Source organism: Homo sapiens, chromosome 6, assembly GCF_000001405.40.
Source record: "Homo sapiens chromosome 6, GRCh38.p14 Primary Assembly".
In the NCBI taxonomy this organism is placed as follows: domain Eukaryota; kingdom Metazoa; phylum Chordata; class Mammalia; order Primates; family Hominidae; genus Homo; species Homo sapiens.
The window spans coordinates 149,816,162-149,837,167 of NC_000006.12; the positions used below are offsets into that span (position 1 = coordinate 149,816,162).

General features: G+C 42.2%; 1 protein-coding gene and 1 long non-coding RNA gene across 2 annotated transcripts in view; both read right to left on the bottom strand.

Moving 5' to 3' along the window:
• Positions 2,596-21,006, bottom strand: part of RAET1E-LRP11 (RAET1E-LRP11 readthrough) — a 77,374-nt gene continuing 58,963 nt past the window's right edge. The window contains exons 13-15 of the long non-coding RNA NR_182438.1: positions 19,924-20,136; positions 10,103-10,198; positions 2,596-4,542 (exon numbers count right to left, since the gene is read on the bottom strand). This is a non-coding gene — a long non-coding RNA (RAET1E-LRP11 readthrough). The remainder of the gene's footprint in view (positions 4,543-10,102; positions 10,199-19,923; positions 20,137-21,006) is intronic.
• LRP11 (LDL receptor related protein 11) overlaps positions 2,596-21,006 on the bottom strand; it is a 45,603-nt gene continuing 27,192 nt past the window's right edge. Inside the window, exons 5-7 of the mRNA NM_032832.6 lie at positions 19,924-20,136; positions 10,103-10,198; positions 2,596-4,542 (exon numbers count right to left, since the gene is read on the bottom strand). Coding sequence (NP_116221.3) covers positions 4,388-4,542; positions 10,103-10,198; positions 19,924-20,136 — 464 coding nt within the window. The 3' untranslated portion in view covers positions 2,596-4,387. The remainder of the gene's footprint in view (positions 4,543-10,102; positions 10,199-19,923; positions 20,137-21,006) is intronic.

The following is a 21,006-nucleotide window of genomic DNA, read 5'->3' on the forward strand; positions in this document are numbered from 1 at the left end:
ATCTCTAGATCATATATTTACAGATTTATCAAGATCTCTAGTTTCATCTGTAGAACTGTTTTGTTTATATGTAAGAACTCTTTTGATTCATTTGGATTTTGAGTATTTGGTCATATGAAATGACTATGAAAATGAAAGAGCACCTTTAAAAAAAAAAGCCCGTACACTATTTTCCTGAGCTTTTTTTTTTTTTTTTTTGAGATGGAGTCTCACACTGTTGCCCGGGCTGGAGTGCAGTGGCACTATCTTGGCTCGCTGCAGCCTCTGCCTCCTGGGTTCAAGCGATTCTCCTACCTCAGCCTCCCGAGTAGCTGGGACTACAGGCGTGTGCCAGCACGCCCAGCTAATTTTTTTTAGTAGCGACGGGGTTTCACTATGTTGGCCAGGCTGGTGTCGAACTCCTGACCTCGTGGTCTGCCCACCTCGGCCTCCCAAAGTGTTGGGATTACAGGTGTGAGCCACTGCGCGTGGCCTTTTTTTTTTTTTTTTTTTTTTTTTTTTTTTTTGAGATGGAGTCTTGCTCTGTTGCCCATGCTGGAGTGCACAATCTCAGCTCACTGCAACCTCCACCTCCTGGGTTCAAGCGATTCTCCCACTTCAGCCTCCCAAATAGCTGGGCTTTACAGGCTTGCCACCATGCCCAGCTAATTTTGTATTTTTAGTAATTTTTGTATTTTTAGTCTCACCATTTTGGCCAGGCTGGTCTCAAACTCCTGACCTCAGGCGATCTGCCCACCTCGCCTCTCGAAGTGTTGGGATTACAAGCATGATCCACTGCACCTGGTCCAATTTCCCTAAGCTATTTTTGTAAAAGTTAACATTATTTTTGTATTAAAATATTTTGAGAAGTTTCCTAAATTTTGAAATAACTTCATAAAAGGATTTAAGCTGAATAATATTATAAATTGATCTCTTTCCAATTTGCAGGGTGATGACATAAGATTTTAAAAACTGATGTGATTTGAGAATTAAAATAAGTAGGAAGGAAGATATGCTTAGACCTAAATATGGGAAATATAGGAGAAGGCTCAGTTCTAACCAGTCAATTCCCAAAAACATTCAGCTTTGGGATGTCGAACCTTATTTTTGTCCTTGGTGGTTTTCTATTTAGCTGGAGAATCTGTGTTTATCCACTAAAGTAGCTATAACTTAAAATATTCATTTTATTTTTAGAATACTAGAATCCAGTAGGTCGGAAAATGGGGACAGGAACAGAAAAGTCTGCAACACAGATGCTTAAAAAGCCAACGAGACGAGAAATTTGTGAATGGCAAACTGCAAACTAAGCTTCTCCCTCTTTGTATTCAGCTTGGGCAGTTCTTTGTTAGAAATTCTCATTCAATTTTAATCTGAAAAGTTGTAGAAAACCTGGAGTCCAGAAAACAAAACATTAAAGTAATTCTGCTAGGAATAAAGTGGCATAATCCATTTTGAGAAAGTAAGCCAAAACATGAAATTGTTTTGAGATGCTATAGTTGAATTTAACAAGGAGCCCAAATTACGGAATCTCAGGCTCAGATGCTGTGTTAAGAGGCATCATCAACATGATGTTGAGGGAACATCTGAAGGTAAGGATGGTGGCTTGTGTTCTGGGGCACAGCACACCTGTTTGTTTACACAGGTGAAGTAATCAACAGAGTTGGCCTTGAACAGCAAAATGGAAAGGGAAATAGAAATATGCATCTCGGCCAGGCATGGTGGCTCACGCCTGTAATCCCAGCATTTTGGGAGGCCGAGGCGGGTGGATCATCTGAGGTCAGGAGCTTGAGACCAGCCTGGCCAACATGGTGAAACCCCATCTCTACTAAAAAAAATACAAAAATTAGCTGGGCATGGTGGCGCACACCTGTAGTCCCAGCTAATCGGAGGCTGAGGCACGAGAACTGCTTGAACCTGTGAGGCGGAGGTTGCAGTGAGCTGAGGTGAGATCATGCCACTGCACTACAGCCTGGGCAACAGAGTGAGACTCGGTCCCAAAAAAAGAAAAAGAGCATCTCTATGTGTGGGTCAAAGGAAAATCTAGTAAAGGGCCATGTGAACAGCCATCAGTAACTGAAGAGAGGTGTTGCTGAGTGGCACTGAGTTGTGGGGCCAGAACACAGGTTTTGAAGTCATTGGGAGCAAGATGAAAAAAATCCTGTTATTTTCCTATGGAAGAGAATGTATTGGGTACTCAGCTGATTTGAAACAGTAAAATGCTGTGGAAGGCTGGAGGAGTAGCTGCTATCTACTAAGAATGAAAGGAAAAAGTAAGTTTTAAGTGTTCAGGAGGAGTTAGTGAGCCTTAGGAAAAGACATGTAAAACACAAGAACATGTTTAAGAGAGAAATTGTGGACACCTTTCCCTTTAAAATTATGTTTCCATTGTCTTAGATGCAGAACTCCTTCAATCAGATAATCTACAGGTAAGAAGATCACTTTTAAAAGTCACATTCAGTCTACCTGATATAAATATTTTGTAGACCTTGATTCTCCTTCCCTCGAGTATGCTTTATGTGGCCCTGGGCATGTCACTTTCTCTAATACTCAATTTCCCCCGTTGTAAAATAGGGTTGGTATGATTGAATCCAAATAATGCAGTAACAGCTCAGTCAATAATAGCAACTTATGATTATATTAAAAGGAAAAAAAGGCTTAATAATAAAATACAATTTATTAAAGGAATCATGTTTACATAGATACAGAACATCTTGGATATTTCAACACCATAGCAACACAAAATTAATTTCTTCATGTATAAAAGATGTGCTGAAAGCTGCATGCCTCATCAGTTTTTATTTTATTGGTTATGGCTATAGTTGACATCTTTCCATATAAAAACAAACTGCACAGCATCACATATAGAGTACAGACATCTTAAGTTCATTCACAAAGTTAATTTTTCTAAACTGCCCTTCAAAAATTTACATCTTTGCTCAATTCTAAACATTCAACAAAATTAGCTTCCCAAGAAACAAAAATGATACCCAATTTCTTTGCTTTTCTAGAAGTAACTTTCCATTTGTTCATGTATTTTGATATGTTATATTCCCCACCCGAATTAAACCCTTTGTTAAAAGAACAACCTACTTTAGGTTCAGTCTAAAAATAAAGCGTACTAGATTCTGGAGTGTTTTTCAAATATTTTAAAATATTTGCCACTTATGGTTAAAAAAAACGTGAATAAGAATATCATGTGAGTGTAGATAGGCACCATACTATACACTCCTCTCAGAATCATTTCTAGAATGTGTATAATCCCGGCGTTAAGTGATGGTGGGAATGATTTGCCTTTAAAAGCCTACAAATTAAAAGGGGAAAGATGCTAAGCTAGATGCTGGTTTTCTGTAAAGATGAATTTGTGAAAAACTGCTTTATGGTCTAGAAATACGTAAGCCTGGCATTAGCTGATGGCACATTCTAACATTTTATAGCATTAAAAAACATCGACTCATTCCATTGGATGAAAGCCATGGTGACATTTTTACAAAAGCTGTACCCAGGAATCCACTCAACGTCCTCTCTTCAATTGTCGTTTTTCATCAACAAAGCCTATATATATATATATAAATGAGTTGCTGTGCTCTCACCATGGAGCAGTGTTGATTTGATGTAATGAAGTATTAAACGTTCTCCTTGCTCTCTTTGCCTTCAACTAAGTTTCTGTTAGTTTTTGGCATGCCAGATTCTCTGCTTCCATCTTGATTTCCTATCTCACTGCATGACCATCTTAGAGCTGTTACTAATTCAAAGTCTGGGGTTTTTTTCTCCCAAAGGTCAGTCTAAGGAGGCAGCCACCTATATGACATGACGTCAGAGGGATTAGGAAGGACCCACACTCACCTTCCCTAAGGCTTACTGACTTGTACATAAGGTTTATAATTTAGGTATACCCACCCTAAGTAACATCTGATTGAAGGCATGAACTTGCTTGAGATCCACTCTCAGAAACAGGTTTAGAGGGGAAAAGAAAAAGAATACTGGGAGCTTCAAGGAGGAAGAAAAGGGCCACAGAACAAGGGGAAGCTGGGCCTATAGCAGTCCAGCATGGTAAGGGGCCAACAGTTGGCTTCTAAAAGGTAATGGGTTAACACAGTCATCCTAATACCACCTCCTGAGATGCTGAATTTTCTCTCAGCTAAGTACACATTTCTATTTTCAGGGACAGCTTACATAAATCAGAATTATATTTTTAGGAATCTTTAATCATGAATTCCTCTCTAAATTTCAAAATATTTTATGACTTCTAAGGAAACTTTTTTTACAATAAATAATAAAGAAAGATTTGGGATTTGCAGAATCTTCTGGCCCAATTAAAAACAAAAGAAGCTGTAAATATCCAGAACTTAATAGATGTATAAATTATAAACAAAACATGTCCCTGCCCCAAGGTATTGAAATTACATTACTATAGATACATCCCATTTATGAGGTAGTCCGATTCCTCAGATGTAATGGGACGAGCTTTTTTCAGTTTCTGTTTCACCAGTCGTAGTCGGCATGCAACCATGAGAAGCAGCAGAGCAGTGATAGCCAAACCCAGCGCCAGGGGTAGCACTGCACCTTTGAGAAGGTTAGACATGAAGAGGGCAAGCCAGTGATTAGTCACAGTGACAGCTACTGGTCACTATATGATACGCGCTTTGCATGCACTATTTTATTTAATCCAAACAAATTGTTATTAGTATTATCACTATTTTGCAGATTAACTAAGGTGTACCAAGGTTAAGTAATTTGCTTATTTGCCTAGGAGGCTGTAAGTTGTAGGTTCAGGTCCCAAACCTAGACTTTTTTTTTTTTTTTTTTTTGAGATGGAGTCTTGCTCTGTTGCCCAGGCTGGAGTGTAATGGCTCAATCTCGGCTCACTGCAACCTCTACCTCCTGGGTTCAAGCGATTCCCCTGCCTCAGCCTCCCGAGTAGCTGGGATTACAGGTGCCTGCCACTGTGCCCAGCTAAATTTTGTATTTTTAGTAGAGATGGGGTTTCAACATCTTGGCCAGGCTGGTCTCAAACTTCTGACCTCGTGATCCACCTGCCTCGGCCTCCCAAAGTGCTGGGATTACAGGCGTGAGCCACCGTGCCCGGCCAACACAGACCTCTTTAAAACCAAATTCTCTACCAGCTTCCTACAAAATTTGTATGGCATCAATGGGTACACATACTACCATCTGATCACTCATATCCAACTGAAATAGGCATTCTGATCACGAAATTTTTTTGTTGTAGTCATTGACTATATTTATGAATTCATACATGATCATTCTTCAACTAAGTATGAACTAACTCCTGATTTCTTGTTCTAGTTAGGGCTTAAGAAATTTATTTCCTTCTAAATCCAGGGAACTGACTCAGTCAGTAGAACCTTTGTTGAAAACTAACTTCCAAATATGCTGGTGTGATTTTGGACATTAAAGGAAAACATTTCTTTAGTTTTTCCTGTGAGGTGGATTCTAGACACCAGAGTAGAAGTAGCGAGGCTTGCAGGAGTCTGGAAGGACAGGGTGTGCCAATATCAGTCTTTTTTATCAAGCTTAGCAGGCTCTATTTTTAGTCTGATCTACTCTGTGGCCAGGCCAGGTCTGGAGATTATATGGTGGAACTGTTTTTAGCTGTAGGGATCTTGCCAACTGGTAGAACTAGAGGAGAAACATCTCCTTTGTGTAGGCTCATTCTATACCATTTGCTCTCATTTATTCATTCATTCTGCATTCATTAAAAGCCTTCTTCCATGTGCCAGACACTGAGCTAAGTGCTGATAATCCTTTTATTTGTAAATAAATACCACCCCCCTCAAGATAAGCTAAGGCCAAGAATACCAGCTTTATAGCTTAAATCACTGAATTCTCACAACCACCACATAAGTTGGTGCTATTATTATCCCCATTTTACAAATGAGGGAGCTAAGGCATCAACAATGAAGTGAGGGCCAGGCACGGTGGCTCAGGCCTGTGATACCAGCACTTTGGAAGGCAGAGGTGGGCAAATTGCTTGATCCCAGGAGTTCGAGACCAGCCTGGGCAACATGGCGAGACCTTGTCTCTACAAAAAATTATTAGCCAGTTGTGGCATGCACCTGCAGTCCCAGCTACTCGGGAGGCTGAAGTAGGAGAATCACCTGAGCCCAGAAAGTTGAGGCTGTTATGAGCCATGATCAGGCTACTGCACTCCAGCCTGGGTGACAGTGTAAGGGCCTATCTCAAAAAAAAAAAAGAGAAGTGAGGCTGGGCACAGTGGCTCATGCCTATAATCCCAATACTTAGGGAGGCTAAAGCAGAAGGATCACTTGAGTCTGGGAGGTAGAGGCTTCAGTGAGCTCTTAAACTGTACTCCAGCTTGGGTGGCAAAGTAAGATCCTGTCTTAAAAAAAAAAAAAAAAAAGACTGAAGTGACTTGTCTAAGATTGTTAAGTGGTAGAGCTAGCAAATAACCCCAGACAGGACAGCCCCAGAGCCTGTGGTTCTATCCACTATGGTACTCTACTTCTACAAAATGTAAATGAGACAGTTTTTGAACGAGTAAGTCTGGGTAGACAGACATTTAAATGGGAAAAAATGCAACAAAGTGTTATACTTACTATGATAGAATTATAGATGAAGCATAGTTGTATTAATAAAATAGGTGGTCCATCTACCTGGTCTGTAGGATTTTTGCCTGAGTGATTTTGATGTATGATAGAGACTGTTGGGTGGCTGAAGGAGGTAAGTTTATTTTTTGACATTTTCAGATTGAGATGCCTATCAGCGATCAGGTGGAATTTTCTCTTAGGCTTTTGGATTAGCTGGGCCTAAATATGTGGGAGCCTTTAGCATAAAGGTGGTAGCTGCAGTCACAATAGGGGTTAGGACAGCCAGAGAGAAAGGAAGAAGAAAGGTGAGCCAGGAACGAGGTCCTGGGAAACACCAGCATTTAGAGGGCAGACAAAAGCAGAGGACCAAAAAAAAACAGAAGAAGACCAGTCAGAGAAATAGGAGGACAACCGCTATAGTAGGGAGTGGGCTTTTGGAAGCTGAGGAAAGAGACGTCCAAGAAGAAAGTCCTCAGCTGAATCAAATGCTAAGGAAATGTCAAGTGAGGTGAAGCCTGGAGAGCCCCCTGGATTTAGCAATTGGTAATTCATTTATGGGAGTACAGAAGATGGAGGATGCTACTTTGTTTCTTTACACATTAAGAAATCTGAACATGATCACAGTCAGGAGAATGAGCCAGTAAAGAAACAGAGATGAAAAACACGGGAGAGCTAGGAGATGATGAGAAATGAACCTGAGGAAATCAGGGGCTTTAGCCAGATCAGGGAGAGACCTTGGAAAGAGGCGACACCTCTTCCTTTAGTACTGGAGGGGAGGAAGAGGGGTGAATGCAACCAGATGAGTTTTTACATTTGGGGGGCAGGTAGCTGAGGAAGTTCACTCCAGACAGTCTTGATTTACTGGGCTTAAAACTGGTCCCAGGTATAGCTGGCCGCCTCTTGAAGACAAGAGGACCTGGAGCTGATGACACACTCACGGCACTTGAACTCTGGTGTATTTTTAGAATCCCAGGTAAAACTCCTGAACAAGATTCTCAAGAACAGTTTGAAAGTGTCTGGTTGCCGGAGGAGGGGATGGGAAAGCTGCTTTAGAGACTGTTAGGTATCAAACAAAGTTCTGGAAGAGGCCAGCATTCCTCCAGAGAATTGTGAAAGATACAAATCGGTGATAACCCTATGGACTGGAATTGGATTCTACGGCTGTCTCATTCCATACACAGCAGTTCTGGAGGTGTCAAGATGGCTGCCTGGTCTCTCCATGCCAGCAGTTTGGGGCTTCAGTAGCTACTACTGCCTCCTAGTCTCCACCTGATGAAAGAAGTTCTGACAAGGCTAAGTGGCCCCAAGGTGTCATTCTCCCTCCACCTTCCTATAAGTTGCATATGTTACAAAGGAACAGGACAAAAAAAGAGACTTTGGTCAATACCCACAGAAAACCCCAGGAACCCCAAATCATTTCTCATGAATTGGACCGCAACACCCAGCCCCAGTCCGGGGGACTTGCTTAAAGATGAGCATCAGCATTTAGGCTAAAGGGTTATGAAGCTGTGGTTGAAGATGCCAATCCCAATGCCGGGGCTCAGGTTTAGCTATGGTAACAATAAAACAGACGAGATCTGGGAAAATGTTCTATTTGCTAAGTCAGATATGAGGCTGCTGAACTGTCTGATCTGATTCCTGTTTAATGCTTTTATGACAAGGAAAATGAAATCTCCCAAAAGTACTTGCCAGAATATTGAAAATTATTCTTGACTTTTAATATTTAGTTGGCTTAGTTTGGATAATTTGAGATTTACAACTTTCTAGCTCCTTCTAAAACACACCATGATGCTATTCTCAGTAACCAGCTAGGGTGATGAATTATGTATTCTGTTCATATGAATGGGGGTGACATTTAAAATATGTAACAGGCTGGGCACAGTGGTTCACACCTGTAATCCCAGCATGGTGGGAGGCTGAGGCAGGAGGATCACTTGAGGTCAGAAGTTTTGAGACCAGCCTGGCCAACATGGCAAAACCCCATCTCTGCTAAAAATACAAAAATTAGCCAGGTGTGGTGGCATGCACCTGTAATCCCAGCTACTAGGGAGGCTGAGGCAGGGGAATCGTTTGAACCCGGGAAGCAGAGGCTGCAGTGAGCTGAGATCGCGCCGCTGTACTCCAACCTGGACAACAGAGTGAGACTCGATGTCTCAAAAACAAAACAAAACAAAAATATGTAACAACCAGAATAGGCAACAGCCAACTAGAGCTGAGACTCTCTGGATACATATGTGTGGGGAGGCAAGAGGCAGGCTGGTTTCCCTCTTCCCTTGATAGGGGACAGGGCCCCTTTTATTCAAATATCTTGGGACAGGCTAAGTCCAGGAGGCCAGCAGACCAAGGGGGTCACCCAGGTACTTGACATCTGGAGTATTCTTAGCTATCTATTGTTTAAACATTATATTTTAATATTGTCCTGATATTATAAATAGGGTAAAAAGAAAGTTTTCTCAATGTTTATAACTTAAGCTTATATTTTGTTCTTCTAAAGCTTCTTTTACTAGTTTGTGGGATTTAAGACTAAAGCCTGCCTTTCTAAAGGATGGTTTCCAAAGTCTTTTCTTCCTAGTTAAAATCAACCAAAATTAAAGAAATTATTGTATTCTTCTTCCACTTAGTAAATATTCTACTTCCTACACCCTTCCCTCATTTCTGTTGTTTTCTGTCTTTGTCACTAGGGCACTTGGAAAGAGAACTAGGTATTCTAAGACCTTTACTCTTCTTTCATCGTAAATAACTGAGTAATAACTGCCATCGTTTCTATATTTGGCTCATCATATGAGCCACACAGTGCATTCAATGCTTGAGATTAATTATCCCATATATTCTTCTCAGCAACCCTATGAGGCAGGTATTGTTACTATCCTCATCTTACGAATGAGGAAACTGAGATCCAGAGAGATAAGATAGCCTGCTCAAGGTCATACAGTTTAGTGGGTAAGTGAGAATTTTTTTTTTTTTTTTTTGAGACGGTCTCACTCTGTCACCCAGGCTGGAGTGCAGTGGCACAATCTTATCTCACTGCAGCCTCGACCTCCCAGGCTCAAGTGATCCTCCCACCTCAGCCTCCCTGGGACTACAGGCGAATGTCACCACACTTGGCTAATTTTTGTATTTTTTGTAGAGACAGGATTTTGCCATATTGCCCAGGCCGGTCTTGAACTCCTGAGCTCAAGCGATCCTCCTGCCTTGGCCTCCCAAAGTGCTGGGATTACAGGCGTGAGCCACTGTGCCCAGCTTTGAGCAAGGATTTGAATTGTGGCATCTGACTCTAAAGCTTGTGTTCTCCCACCATGCCACAAGTATGACATTTTCCACAGGTGTCACACCTGGAAGGGTGTATAGAAAAGGCAGCTGAGGTCCAAAGATGGAAGGTTACTATCAGGAGCCCCAAGACGCAGTGCAATACAAGCAACGAGGAGACAGTTCTTTCGGTCCACTGACGGACTCCTCCTGTCCTGAGCTCTCATGGCCTCAGGGAATATCCTCAGCCAGAGGGCATGCAGTTCTGAGAAGACTACAGTCTGCAAAGGGTTTCCAAGGTGGACATTTACCTGTTTCTGGGGCTGGGTGTTCCCCTCCTCCTCCATCACCCTTTGACTCAAATATATAACTTTCCTCTTTTCTGTTCTTCCCTGAGGAACTACTATCTGCAGAAAAGAAAGAGAACATATATTGAAGGTGTATGCATCAGAAACTTCAGGAAACAAATGTGAAAATACAGCCTTATTTTTTTTTAAGATGGACTTAGAGAAGAACTGTTTATTTCTCTACTAAACAAAGGCCTATGTTTGATAGTTAAGCAGTAAATAACTAAGGTGACCCACTGAATAAAGCAAAGTACGCAGCTAATACGAAACCACCGACAGAGAGAGCGGAAGACACACCCTGCACCGAACTACCACCACGCCTCTTGGAGAAGGGAGATCTCAGGCTAGAAGAGTCACAGGGAGTCTCCGGATATCACGCCATGAAAAGCAGAAACCAGAAAGGTTTTTCTTTGAAGAATAAACAATGGGCATATATAAGGCATTTAGACATGCTCTTTCTCTTTCTCACAACTCTGGATGGCAGGTATAAATAGCTCAATTTTCTTTCTGGTTAGGCTCAGGGTCAGGTTCGTACCTAGGTTCACACAAGTAAGTGGGTCACAGGGCTGGGATGCAAACTGGTTTCTTGGTAGAGACCAGTACTTCTAATTTAATGATATATTACTTAACTATTAAGTTATAATACTGAGGGGGAAATTATTATTATTTATTTACTTTTTTTTTTTTTTGAGACAGAGTCTCTGTTGCCCAGATTGGAGTGCAGTGGCACGATCTTGGCTCACTGCAACGTCCACCTCCTGGGTTCAAGCAATTCTCCTGCCTCAGCCTCCCGAGTAGCTGGGATTACAGGTGCGTGCCACCATGCCTCGCTAATTTTTGTATTTTTAGTAGAGACGGGGTTTTGCCATGTTCCCCAGATGGGCTCAAGTGATCCGCTCACCTCAGCCTCCCAAAGTGCTGGGATGACAGGCGTGAGCCACCATGCCCAGCCTTAAGTGGGATTTTTGAGTATTACAATGCTTAATGGCAATGAATTAGAAATAATCTACTGACAAATTTTATTGAGAAAATTTTTAAAGCTTCTTTACTCATATGGCATCAACATAAATGTTCCTAATTCCTGCAAATGAAATAAGACTATTTAAAGGTAGTATATAAAATTCTTTGGTAACTTGCATTTTGCAAATTTACTAAGTCACAAAGTTGGCCAGGTGCACTGGCTCATGCCTATAATCCTGGCACTTTGGGGACAGTCTACTGTGTCTTGTTACTCTAGAAAGTTCCATGTATGTTGGTCCTACATACAGCCAATAATTTGGGCTTTCTCCATAAACTCTGAGCTCAGACAGAAGGAGAGAGATGAGGAAAGCACAGCCATTGCTCATAGGCTGCAGGATCAGATTTCCCTGCAAAAAGAGTTCTGTTACTGTCCAACTCACTGCAGTAGCCACGACAGTGGTCACCAAGGACCTCTCCAGCTACCTGGATTCTCTTATATGATACCTGATCCCAGGCCAGGTAGTTCTATAAGATTGTATTACATAAGGGCCGCACGCAGTGGCTCATGCCTGGCCAACATGGCAAAACCCTGTCTCTACTTAAAATACAAAAAAAATTAGCCAGGCATGGTGGGCGCCTGTAGTCCCAGCTGCTGGGGAGGCTGAGGCAGGAGAATGGCGTGAACCCTGGAGGCGGAGCTTGCAGTGAGCCGAGATCGCGCCACTGCACTCCAGCCTGGGCGACTGAGCAAGACTCCGTCTCAAAAAAAAAAAAAAAAAAAATTAGCCAGGCATGGTGGTGGGCGCCTGTAATCCCAGCTACTTGGGAAACTGAGGCAGGAGAATCACTTGAACTTGGGAGGCGGAGGGTGCAGTGAGCCAAGATCATGCCACCGCACTCCAACCTGGGCAACAGAGACTCCTTTTCAAAAGAAAAAAAAAAAAGATTTTATTATATATGATTCTGGCCTAGGAAGCTATACTAGAAGTACTGTAAACATCTGCTGACATAGGAAAGCACTATTTAATACAGAAAAATAAGACCATGCAGCTTTTTTATTTTATTATATTTTTACTGCTAGTAGACAGACCAGAGTGCAATTTTTGTGGCAAGTAATTTTTACACTTTTTCTCAGGGGTGAGGTAGTTAATAGGTACATATTTAACCACTGCTTTTATGGTGCAAATCTCATGGTGTTGATATCCATATTGAAAATATGAGTATGTTTTATTTTCTTTTTTTTTTTTGAGACAGGGTCTCCCTTTGTTGCCCAGGCTAGAGTGCAGTGGTGCAATCTCAGCTCACTGCAGCCTCGACTTCCCAGGCTCAAGTGATCCTCCCACCTCAGCCTCCCAACTAACTGGGACTACAGGTAAGCATCACCACACCTGACTAATTTTTCTATTTTTTTGTAGAGATGGGGTTTTGCCATGTTTCCCAGGCTGGTCTTGAACTCCTGAGCTCAAGCAAGCCTCCCGCCTTGACCTCCCAAAGTGCTGGAATTGCAGGTGTGAGCCACAGCACCTGACCTAAAAATATGAATATTTTCAATAGCATTTTGAAGGTTCAATGTAAGCCTTGTTTAGATTACTACAGAGACTCCAGTGAATGTTCCTGAGCTTTTGCTTGGTAGAGATATAGAAAACATTACTGTGTTTTAAAGTCAATAATGCCTGATTTTTTCAAATGCCAGTTGCTCGTGGATCTCCAAAAGAAACACAAGATTTGTTCTGTAGAGATATAAATCAGTGATATGCAAAACAGTCCATCCAGCAGCCGCACACACAAAACTAGCAGCCCTGAAACAGCTTGGAAATCAAACTGCTAAGTTACCTAAAAACCACTTGTGGCACTTCTCCCTTCATCCCTTTCCTCCTCCCCCATGCCGTACTGCCAGGTTAGCTTGCAAAGGAACTTCTATGCATTCTGCTTTATCTCTCTCTCCAATAATAAATTTGGAAGTGGGAAGATCACATGGTGGGAAACTCAAGTCCTACTTTTTAAAAATAATAAGCCAGGGCCTGGGCATGGTGGCTCACGCCTGTAATCCCAGCACTTTAGGAGGCCAAGGCAGGTGGATCACTTGAGGTCAGGAGTTCGAGACCAGCCTAGCCAACATGGTGAAACCCCATCTCTACTAAAAATACAAAAATTAGCTGGGAATGACGGCACACGCTTGTGATCTCAGCTACTTGGGAGGCTGAGGCAGGTGAATCGCTTGAATTTGGGAGGTGGAGGTTGCAGTGACCCCAGACAGCGCCACTGCATTCCAGCCTGGGTAAGAGAACGAGACTCCATCTAAAAAAATAAATAAAATAAAATAAAATAAAAATAAAAATAAAATTAAAAATGAGCCAGGAATAAAAACAAAGTGCCAAAATTCACCAACTCCCGATTTTTTTCAGAGGACTAACTGGTTTGTCTTTCACCCAATAAAAAAAATAAGATAACTGCATTTACAGTGTTCACCTCACTGTTTCTTCCCAATGAAGATGAGAGCTTGCTCATCTTAATTCTTAAAGGAACTCAGTACTGGAAACACTACTGCACTATTTCTATTTTTTATTTGAATTAACTGCCTTATACACTTGGCGCTCTCTTACCCTGGTTTCCTAGCGAATACCACTGGACTTGAATGTTCTAGCAAAAATTCAAACAGCACTAACATTTACTGAGAGACATCAATTATATTTACATATAATATCTCCTGCAATCTTTGTAGCCATATTATGAGAGATTATTATCCTCTTTTTTTTTTTTTTTTTTTTGAGACAGAATTTCACTCTTGTTGCCCAGGCTGGAGTGCACTGGCGCAATCTCGGCTCACTGCAACCTCCACCTCCTGGGTTCAAGCGATTCTCCTGCCTCAGCCTCCCGAGAAGCTGGGATTGTAGGCATGCACCACCACGCCTGGCTAATTTTTGTATTATTAGTAGAGATGGGGTTTCTCCGTGTTGGCCAGGCTGGTCTCGAACTCCCTACCTCAGGTGATCCACCCGCCGTGGCCTCCCAAAGTGCTGGAATTACAGGCATGAGCCACCGTGCCCAGCTGAGATTATTATCCTCTTACAGGTAAGGAAATGAAGTTTAGAGAAGTTGATTACTTAGTAGCTAGTAATTGGTGGTGCTGGAATTAGAACCCAGGACTGATCCAAAGCAGTTTTCCATTGAACCATACTGCTCTCAAGGTCACAACTAGCAAATACGAGTTTTTTACTCCAAGAACCAAGTCAATACTATATTTATTTACTCATACCCAGGCAAAATCACACACTTTTAAATGATTTTTAGGAAGGTTCTGGACAAAGCTTTATTAAGGATGCAGTAGAGAAATTGGCTAACTGTACTTGCAAAAGGGACCTAACCTCACAGGTGGGTTCATGTAAAAAACTATGCAAATTCTTTCTGAATCTTCAGTTGTCAAAATTAAAGAGCACTTTCTTTCTTTAAGAAAAATTTTTTTAAACAGCATTTTCTTAAATGCCCTTATTCCCTGGGGAGAGGAAGATGGTGATGTAGGGAGGGATCAGGTATCAGGCAGCGGGCAGTGTGCATGGGAGACTTCAGAAGGCGCAGTTGCCCCAGACTCTAGGATTACCCAGGAACCTGGCCCTGCCTTCTGGGTAACTGAAATGTGAATTTCTGCTGTTTACATTCCATGAAGGAATTCCCTATGATTTCCCAGTCTGCCTGATTCATTTTTCCTAGATTTCAGCATAAGGAACGCCATAGAGAAATGCTTCACTTTCACACATCCAATCACAGGCTCTAGCCAGTGTGGCGAATCGAAACAAAACAAAACAATGACATCACTTGCTTCTGGAAATAGTTACTTTTGGTAATGATCCTTCTGGAAGAGTTACATGTCTTAGGAGACCATTTTTCCTTTCTTCTGAATGTATTATGTTTACTATGCATGGCGACACATTCACAGAGGGAATTGGCAGCTGGATGGAAGCTGTTTTCATTTCATTTCCAGCTGCCATAGAGCATGCAGGCATGATCCGGAAGAAATACTTTAACATGCCCAGGAATTCTCAAGTTTCAAAAAGCAGATTCCACGTGAATGTGGATGTAGCACCACTTTTCTAGCCCTTTGTAGGGCTGGAAACCAGATTTCTTTCCTCGGGGTAGCTTGGATACAAGAGGGTGGAATTGTTAATGAATGACATGGACCACACAGAGAACAGGCCCTACGGCTATGACCATGGTCAACAATCCAGCCATTGTGCCTTTACATGCTGAGCAAACACAGGCCACACTGGAGCTCTGTGCTCCTCCTGCCCGGTGGCTCAGAGTGTACTGAGCATGCATTCGCTGGTGTAACTGAATGTCTGCACATACCTTCATTTTATCCTCAGTAACCTGTGTGGAATAAATCCCCAAAAGTGGGACAATTGGGTCAAAGCACACATAGTTTTGTTTTAGAGATGAGGTCTTACTCTGTCACCCAGGCTGGAGTACAGTGGTGGGATTACAGCTCACTGCAGCCTCGACCTCCCAAGCTCAAGCAATTCTCCCACCTCAGCCTTTCAAGTAGCTGGGATTACAGGTGAATACCACAAGCTGATTTCTGTAGTTTTTGTAGAGATGGGGTTTTGCCATGTTGCTAGGGCTGGTCTAGAACTCCTGGCCTTAAGCAATCCACCTGCCTTGGCCTTCCAAAGTGCTGGGATTACAGGTGTGAGCTGCTGCACCCGATCATATACATAGTTTTAAGCCTTCAGAAACTGGCCTCTGGAAGGACGTACTAATTGCATTGCTACCAGCAGAGTGTGAGACTTGTTTCTCTCTACTCTTAGAAACATTAATTATTATAATTCTTCATCATTGTCAATGTGATAGGTGAAAAACTACATCTCACTACTTTGCATGCTACACTGTTAGTATTAATCTTAGTATCTTGTTAACAAGTCTTCCATGAGCTAAGTCTTTTTTTTTTTTTTTTTTGAGACTGAGTCTCACTCTGTCACCTGGGCTGGAGTGCAGTGGCGCAATCTTGGCTCACTGCAACCTCCGCCTCCTGGGTTCAAGTGATTCTCCTGCCTCAGCCTCCTGAGTAGCTGGGATTACAGGTGCCTGACACTACGCCCAGCTAATTTTTTGTATTTTTAGTAGAGATGGGGTTTCACCATGTTGGCCAGGCTGGTCTTGAACTGACCTCGTGATTTGCCTGCCTCGGCCTCCCAAAGTGCTGGGATTACAAGCATGAGCCACCGCGCCCAGCCGAGCTAAGTCTTATTTGTCCTCACCACATGTCTGTGCAGGAAGGAGGCAGCAGTGAATTTAACTCATTCATATTTATTGTACTAGCTGATGGTCTTCTTAAAACCCAGGCATGTGTCATGAACAACAATGTACTTTTTTTTTTTTTTTTTTGAGATGGAGTCTCGCTCTGTTGCTCAGGCTGGAGTGCAGTGGCGCAATCTCAGCTCACTGAAAGCTCTGCCTCCTGGGTTCACACCATTCTCCTGCCTCAGCCTCCTAAGTAGCTGGGACTACAGGTGCCCGCCACCATGCCCGGCTAATTTTTTGTATTTTTATTTTTATTTTTTTATTTTATTTTTGAGACGGAGTCTTGCTCTGTCGCCCAGGCTGGAGTGCAGTGGTGCGATCTTGGCTCACTGCAAGCTCCACCTCCCGGGTTCACGCCATTCTCCTGCCTCAGCCTCCCGAGTAGCTGGGACCACAGGTGCCCGCCACCACGTCCAGCTAATTTTTTGTAGTTTTAGTAGAGACAGCGTTTCACCATGTTAGCCAGGATGGTCTCGATCTCCTGACCTTGTGATCCGCCTGCCTCGGCCTCCCAAAGTGCTGGGATTACAAGCGTAAGCCACCGTTCCTGGCCTTTGTATTTTTAGTAGAGATGGGGTTTCACCGTGTTAGCCAGGATGATCTCGATCTCCTGACCTCATGATCCGCCCACCTCGGCCTCCCAAAGTGCTGAGATTACAGGCGTGAGCCACCGTGCCCGGCCAATAATGCACTTTTAAATCTACTTATGGGTCTTTAACTTACATGAAATCAGAGGCTGAGGACTCTACTCTGGTGGTCTTAGGGACAGCAGAGGGGGAGGGCAGGGACAGCTACTGTCTGAACAGAAACTACAGGATGTGAGGGCTCTTTCTAACATTTTCAGTTTTGTTTTTTTCTTCCCACTTTCTTCACCCCAGGACTTTCAAAAAGTGTGTTTTTGATGAATAGTTAATAATACATGAAAATGCTCATGAGTAAGAAAAAAGTTTTATAAAAGCATTATCCTGCTTTTGTTAAAAATGAATAAATATGTATATGTGTATGAATAGAAGTAACCAGAAGAAAATGCGACAAAATTTTAATGGTGAGTTTTGCTAGATGCTTTTAACTTTCTTTGTATTTTTCTATATTTTCTACAGTAAATCCATATTATTTTAATAATTAGAAAAAGCCCTAATATAATAACTGTACATCTAATCTCTCTGCATCTGTGAAAGACCACTCTTTACATCTTCATAACCAAATCCAAAGGCTGATTATCAAAAAGCAAAAGGAGAGATCATAAATAGATTGGAAATTGGGTGCTGACTCCCATCAGCCGCAGGTGGCAGCCTGGAGCATTATTTTCTTTTTTTTCCCTCCAACTTCTAAGTTCCGGGGTACATGTGTAGGATGTGCAGGTTTGTCACACAGGTAAACGTGTCATGGTGGTTTGCTGCACAGATCATCCCATCCCTAGGTATTAAGCCCAGCATCCATTAGCTGTTCTGCCTGATGCTCCCCCTCCCCCTACCTCCCACCCTCTGACAGGCCCCAGTGTGTGTTGTTTCCCTCCATATGTTCATGTGTTCTCATCATTCGGCTTCCATTTCTAACGTGAGGACATGCAGTATTTGGTTTTCTGTTCCTGCGTTAGTTTGCTGAGAATAATGGCTTCTAGCCTGGAGCACTATTTTCAAAAGGATTCTGAGCTAAGTCCACATTCCCCATGGGACAGTGCTGGGACCAATGAGTGACACCTAGCATGGGTAAGGGCTGATGGGGTAAAGTATGAATGTCAGCCTATTTATCATTCCTCAGTGCTGGACAGCACCTTGGAGGACATCTGGTTGAAGTCCCTTATTAACAGATGAGGCAACTGAGGTCCAGAGATATGAAGTGACTTATTCAAGGTTCTAAAGGTAGAGCCAAGACCTGGGCTTTGGTCTCGACTCTACTTTCAGCTAATTTGTTCATGCTCACGTGGTTCTCTCCACCACAGTAATGTGGTAGGAATTCATCCATCCTGGCCTCTGATAACACAGATCTCTCCATAAACTCTTCACCCCTTCGGCAGTCCTGCCAAAGATGCCTGGTCTGCCCAACTCTGTTTCTTAGATTGTGATGCTCTTCTCCATACAAACTATCTTAAGCAGAGAAAACCCACTAAAACCACATCCAAAGGCTTGCATGTAGTGACCGATTTTACCAGTAGGTGGCAGTACCAACCAGGAATGGACCAAAAAAGCAGACACTTGGCAGCATTCTTAACCAAAACTCAGAAAGAAAAGCCCCTGATAGAATGCAATGTTTTGCAGACATATTTTTATGGAGGCACTTAAAATCTACAAGGCACATAAACAAGAGTGGAAGGAAATATAACAAATATTAAAAGCAGTTTTCAAAAGAGGTGGTATTTTAAATTCACTTTCCTTCTTAAATTATTTTGCATCTTCCGTATCTTGTACAATGAACAAAAATTTTTCTTAATAAACTTACTAAAATCATGTCAGGTTATTTCAATACAACTTATGCAGAGTCTGAAAAGACATTAGAAAAGCTTTTGGAAATGTGATAATCTCTATTTCTGTCTCATGTCACATAATCATGCAAATAATAAGTGTGTAAAAAATGATGGAATCCTGTAATACTTATTGATTGACTGATTGAGACAAGGTCTCACTATGTTGCCCAGGCTGGTCTCAAACTCTTGGCCTCAAGCAATTCTTCTGCCTCAGCCTCCAGAGTAGCTGGGATTATAGGTGAGTCACTGCATCTGGCTAAATTCTGTAATGCTTTAGTCATGTTAATGTATTTTAGGCCAGGTGCAGTGACTCACACCTATAATCCTAGCACTTTGGGAGGCCAGCCGAGGTGGGCAGATTGCTTGAGCCCAAGAGTTCAAGACCAGCCTGGGCAACATGGCAAAACCTTGTCTCTATAAAAAATACAAAAATTAGTCAGGCATGGTGGTCCCAGCTACTACGCCTATAGTCCCAGCTACTCAGGAGGCTGAGATGGGAGGATCATGTGAGTTTGGGAGGCTGAGGCTGCAGTGAGCTGTGATCGCGTCACTGTACTCCAGCCTGGGAAACAGAGTGAGACCCTGTCTCAAAAAAAATAAAAATAAATCTCATTAGCCTTACTTTTTTTAGTGATAGATTTAGTTAAATTGGAGGCATAACGTTGAATTACTAGCACATGCATCTCTTTCAAGACAACTTGTTTAAATGTTCACTTGCTTGGGTGAAGAGGATTTACACAAATACATAATGGTTATGCTGTTTCATCTCAAAACAACCTAAAATTTAACACTTTGGGTATTGGTTTACGTAAGCTAAGTGTTAATGTATTTACAAATAAATGTATTAGTGTCTCTGGAGTAGGTACATGAGTGTATTTAGTAAGTGTCCCTTACTACAAATTAGTGCAAATGTCAAGATTTCCCCCCGCCTTTCTGGCCAAATTCTTAATTTTAACTCTTATTTCAAGATACTTCCTTAACACTCTTCAAACATAAACTTAATTGTGAGCCAAGTTTGGCTACAGAAAACAAGGTTCTTCATTGAGAACCCACCGTGAATCCTTACCTGGCATCACAGGAATGATTTGACTCTCTGGTCCCCAAAAGGCGGAATGATTCCTCTTCTCTGTGTTTGATAATGCAGGTGGCTTGTTTGGGGCAGTGGCTTTCTGAGACTTTTCCACCAAGGAGTCACCCCCTGCATCTTCACTCGGCCCTGTGGTTCTTGGCAGGGCAGGACTAGCTGCCGTGTGGGTTACCATCTTGCGGTCCAGGCCCACTGAAGTGTGGAAGAGCTACTGTTAGTTGCTGGATTTCTTTTCTGAGCTTTAATACTAAAAACACTACATCTGCAGCTGATTTAAAATCACGGATATTTGGATGTAACAGCCCACTCATCTAAGACATGTCAGAGGACCATAAAAATCTATTCTCACGTTTTCAAATGGGTAATCTGTTCTTTCTTCTTCCAATAGTCAGCTTTCCAAATGTTACACATAAAGAAATGGACGGGGCCCAGCACGGTGGCTCATGCCTGTAATCCTAGCACCTTGGGAGGCAGAAGTAGGCAATCACTTGAGCCCACGAGTTCGTGACCAGCCTGGGCAACAAGGCAAAACCCCATCTCTACAAAAAATTAACAAAAATTAGCTGGGCATGGTGGTACATGCCTGCAGTCCCAGCTACTGGGGAGGCTGAGGTGGGAGAAACACCTAAGGCTGGGGAAGTCGAGGCTGCAGTGAGCCATGATTATGCCACTGCACTCCAGCCTGGGTGACAGAGTGAGAACTGGTCTCATAAAAAAAAGAAAGAAAAGAAAAAAGAAATGGACAAAGACTAAACGTAAACTTAAGGTTTTGAGACTCTTCGTCCTTCCTCAAATCCATACTTCATTACATTTTCTTCAGTTTTTCTTCTTTCTTACAGGGTGTTTCTATGTGTATGATATTATAAGACTGATTTACAGCTCTGACTTAGCCACACCCTGGTGTATCGCAAATTTTCTTTAAAAAATTATCAAAACAAAGCATCAAATCACTGCAGTTTTTAAGAAAGCACATGACATGCAGCATTTTTAGGATAGAAAGAACCTGGAAAATTGAAAAAAATTAAAAACATAAGCAATACTAAAAATTTGACATTTGAGACT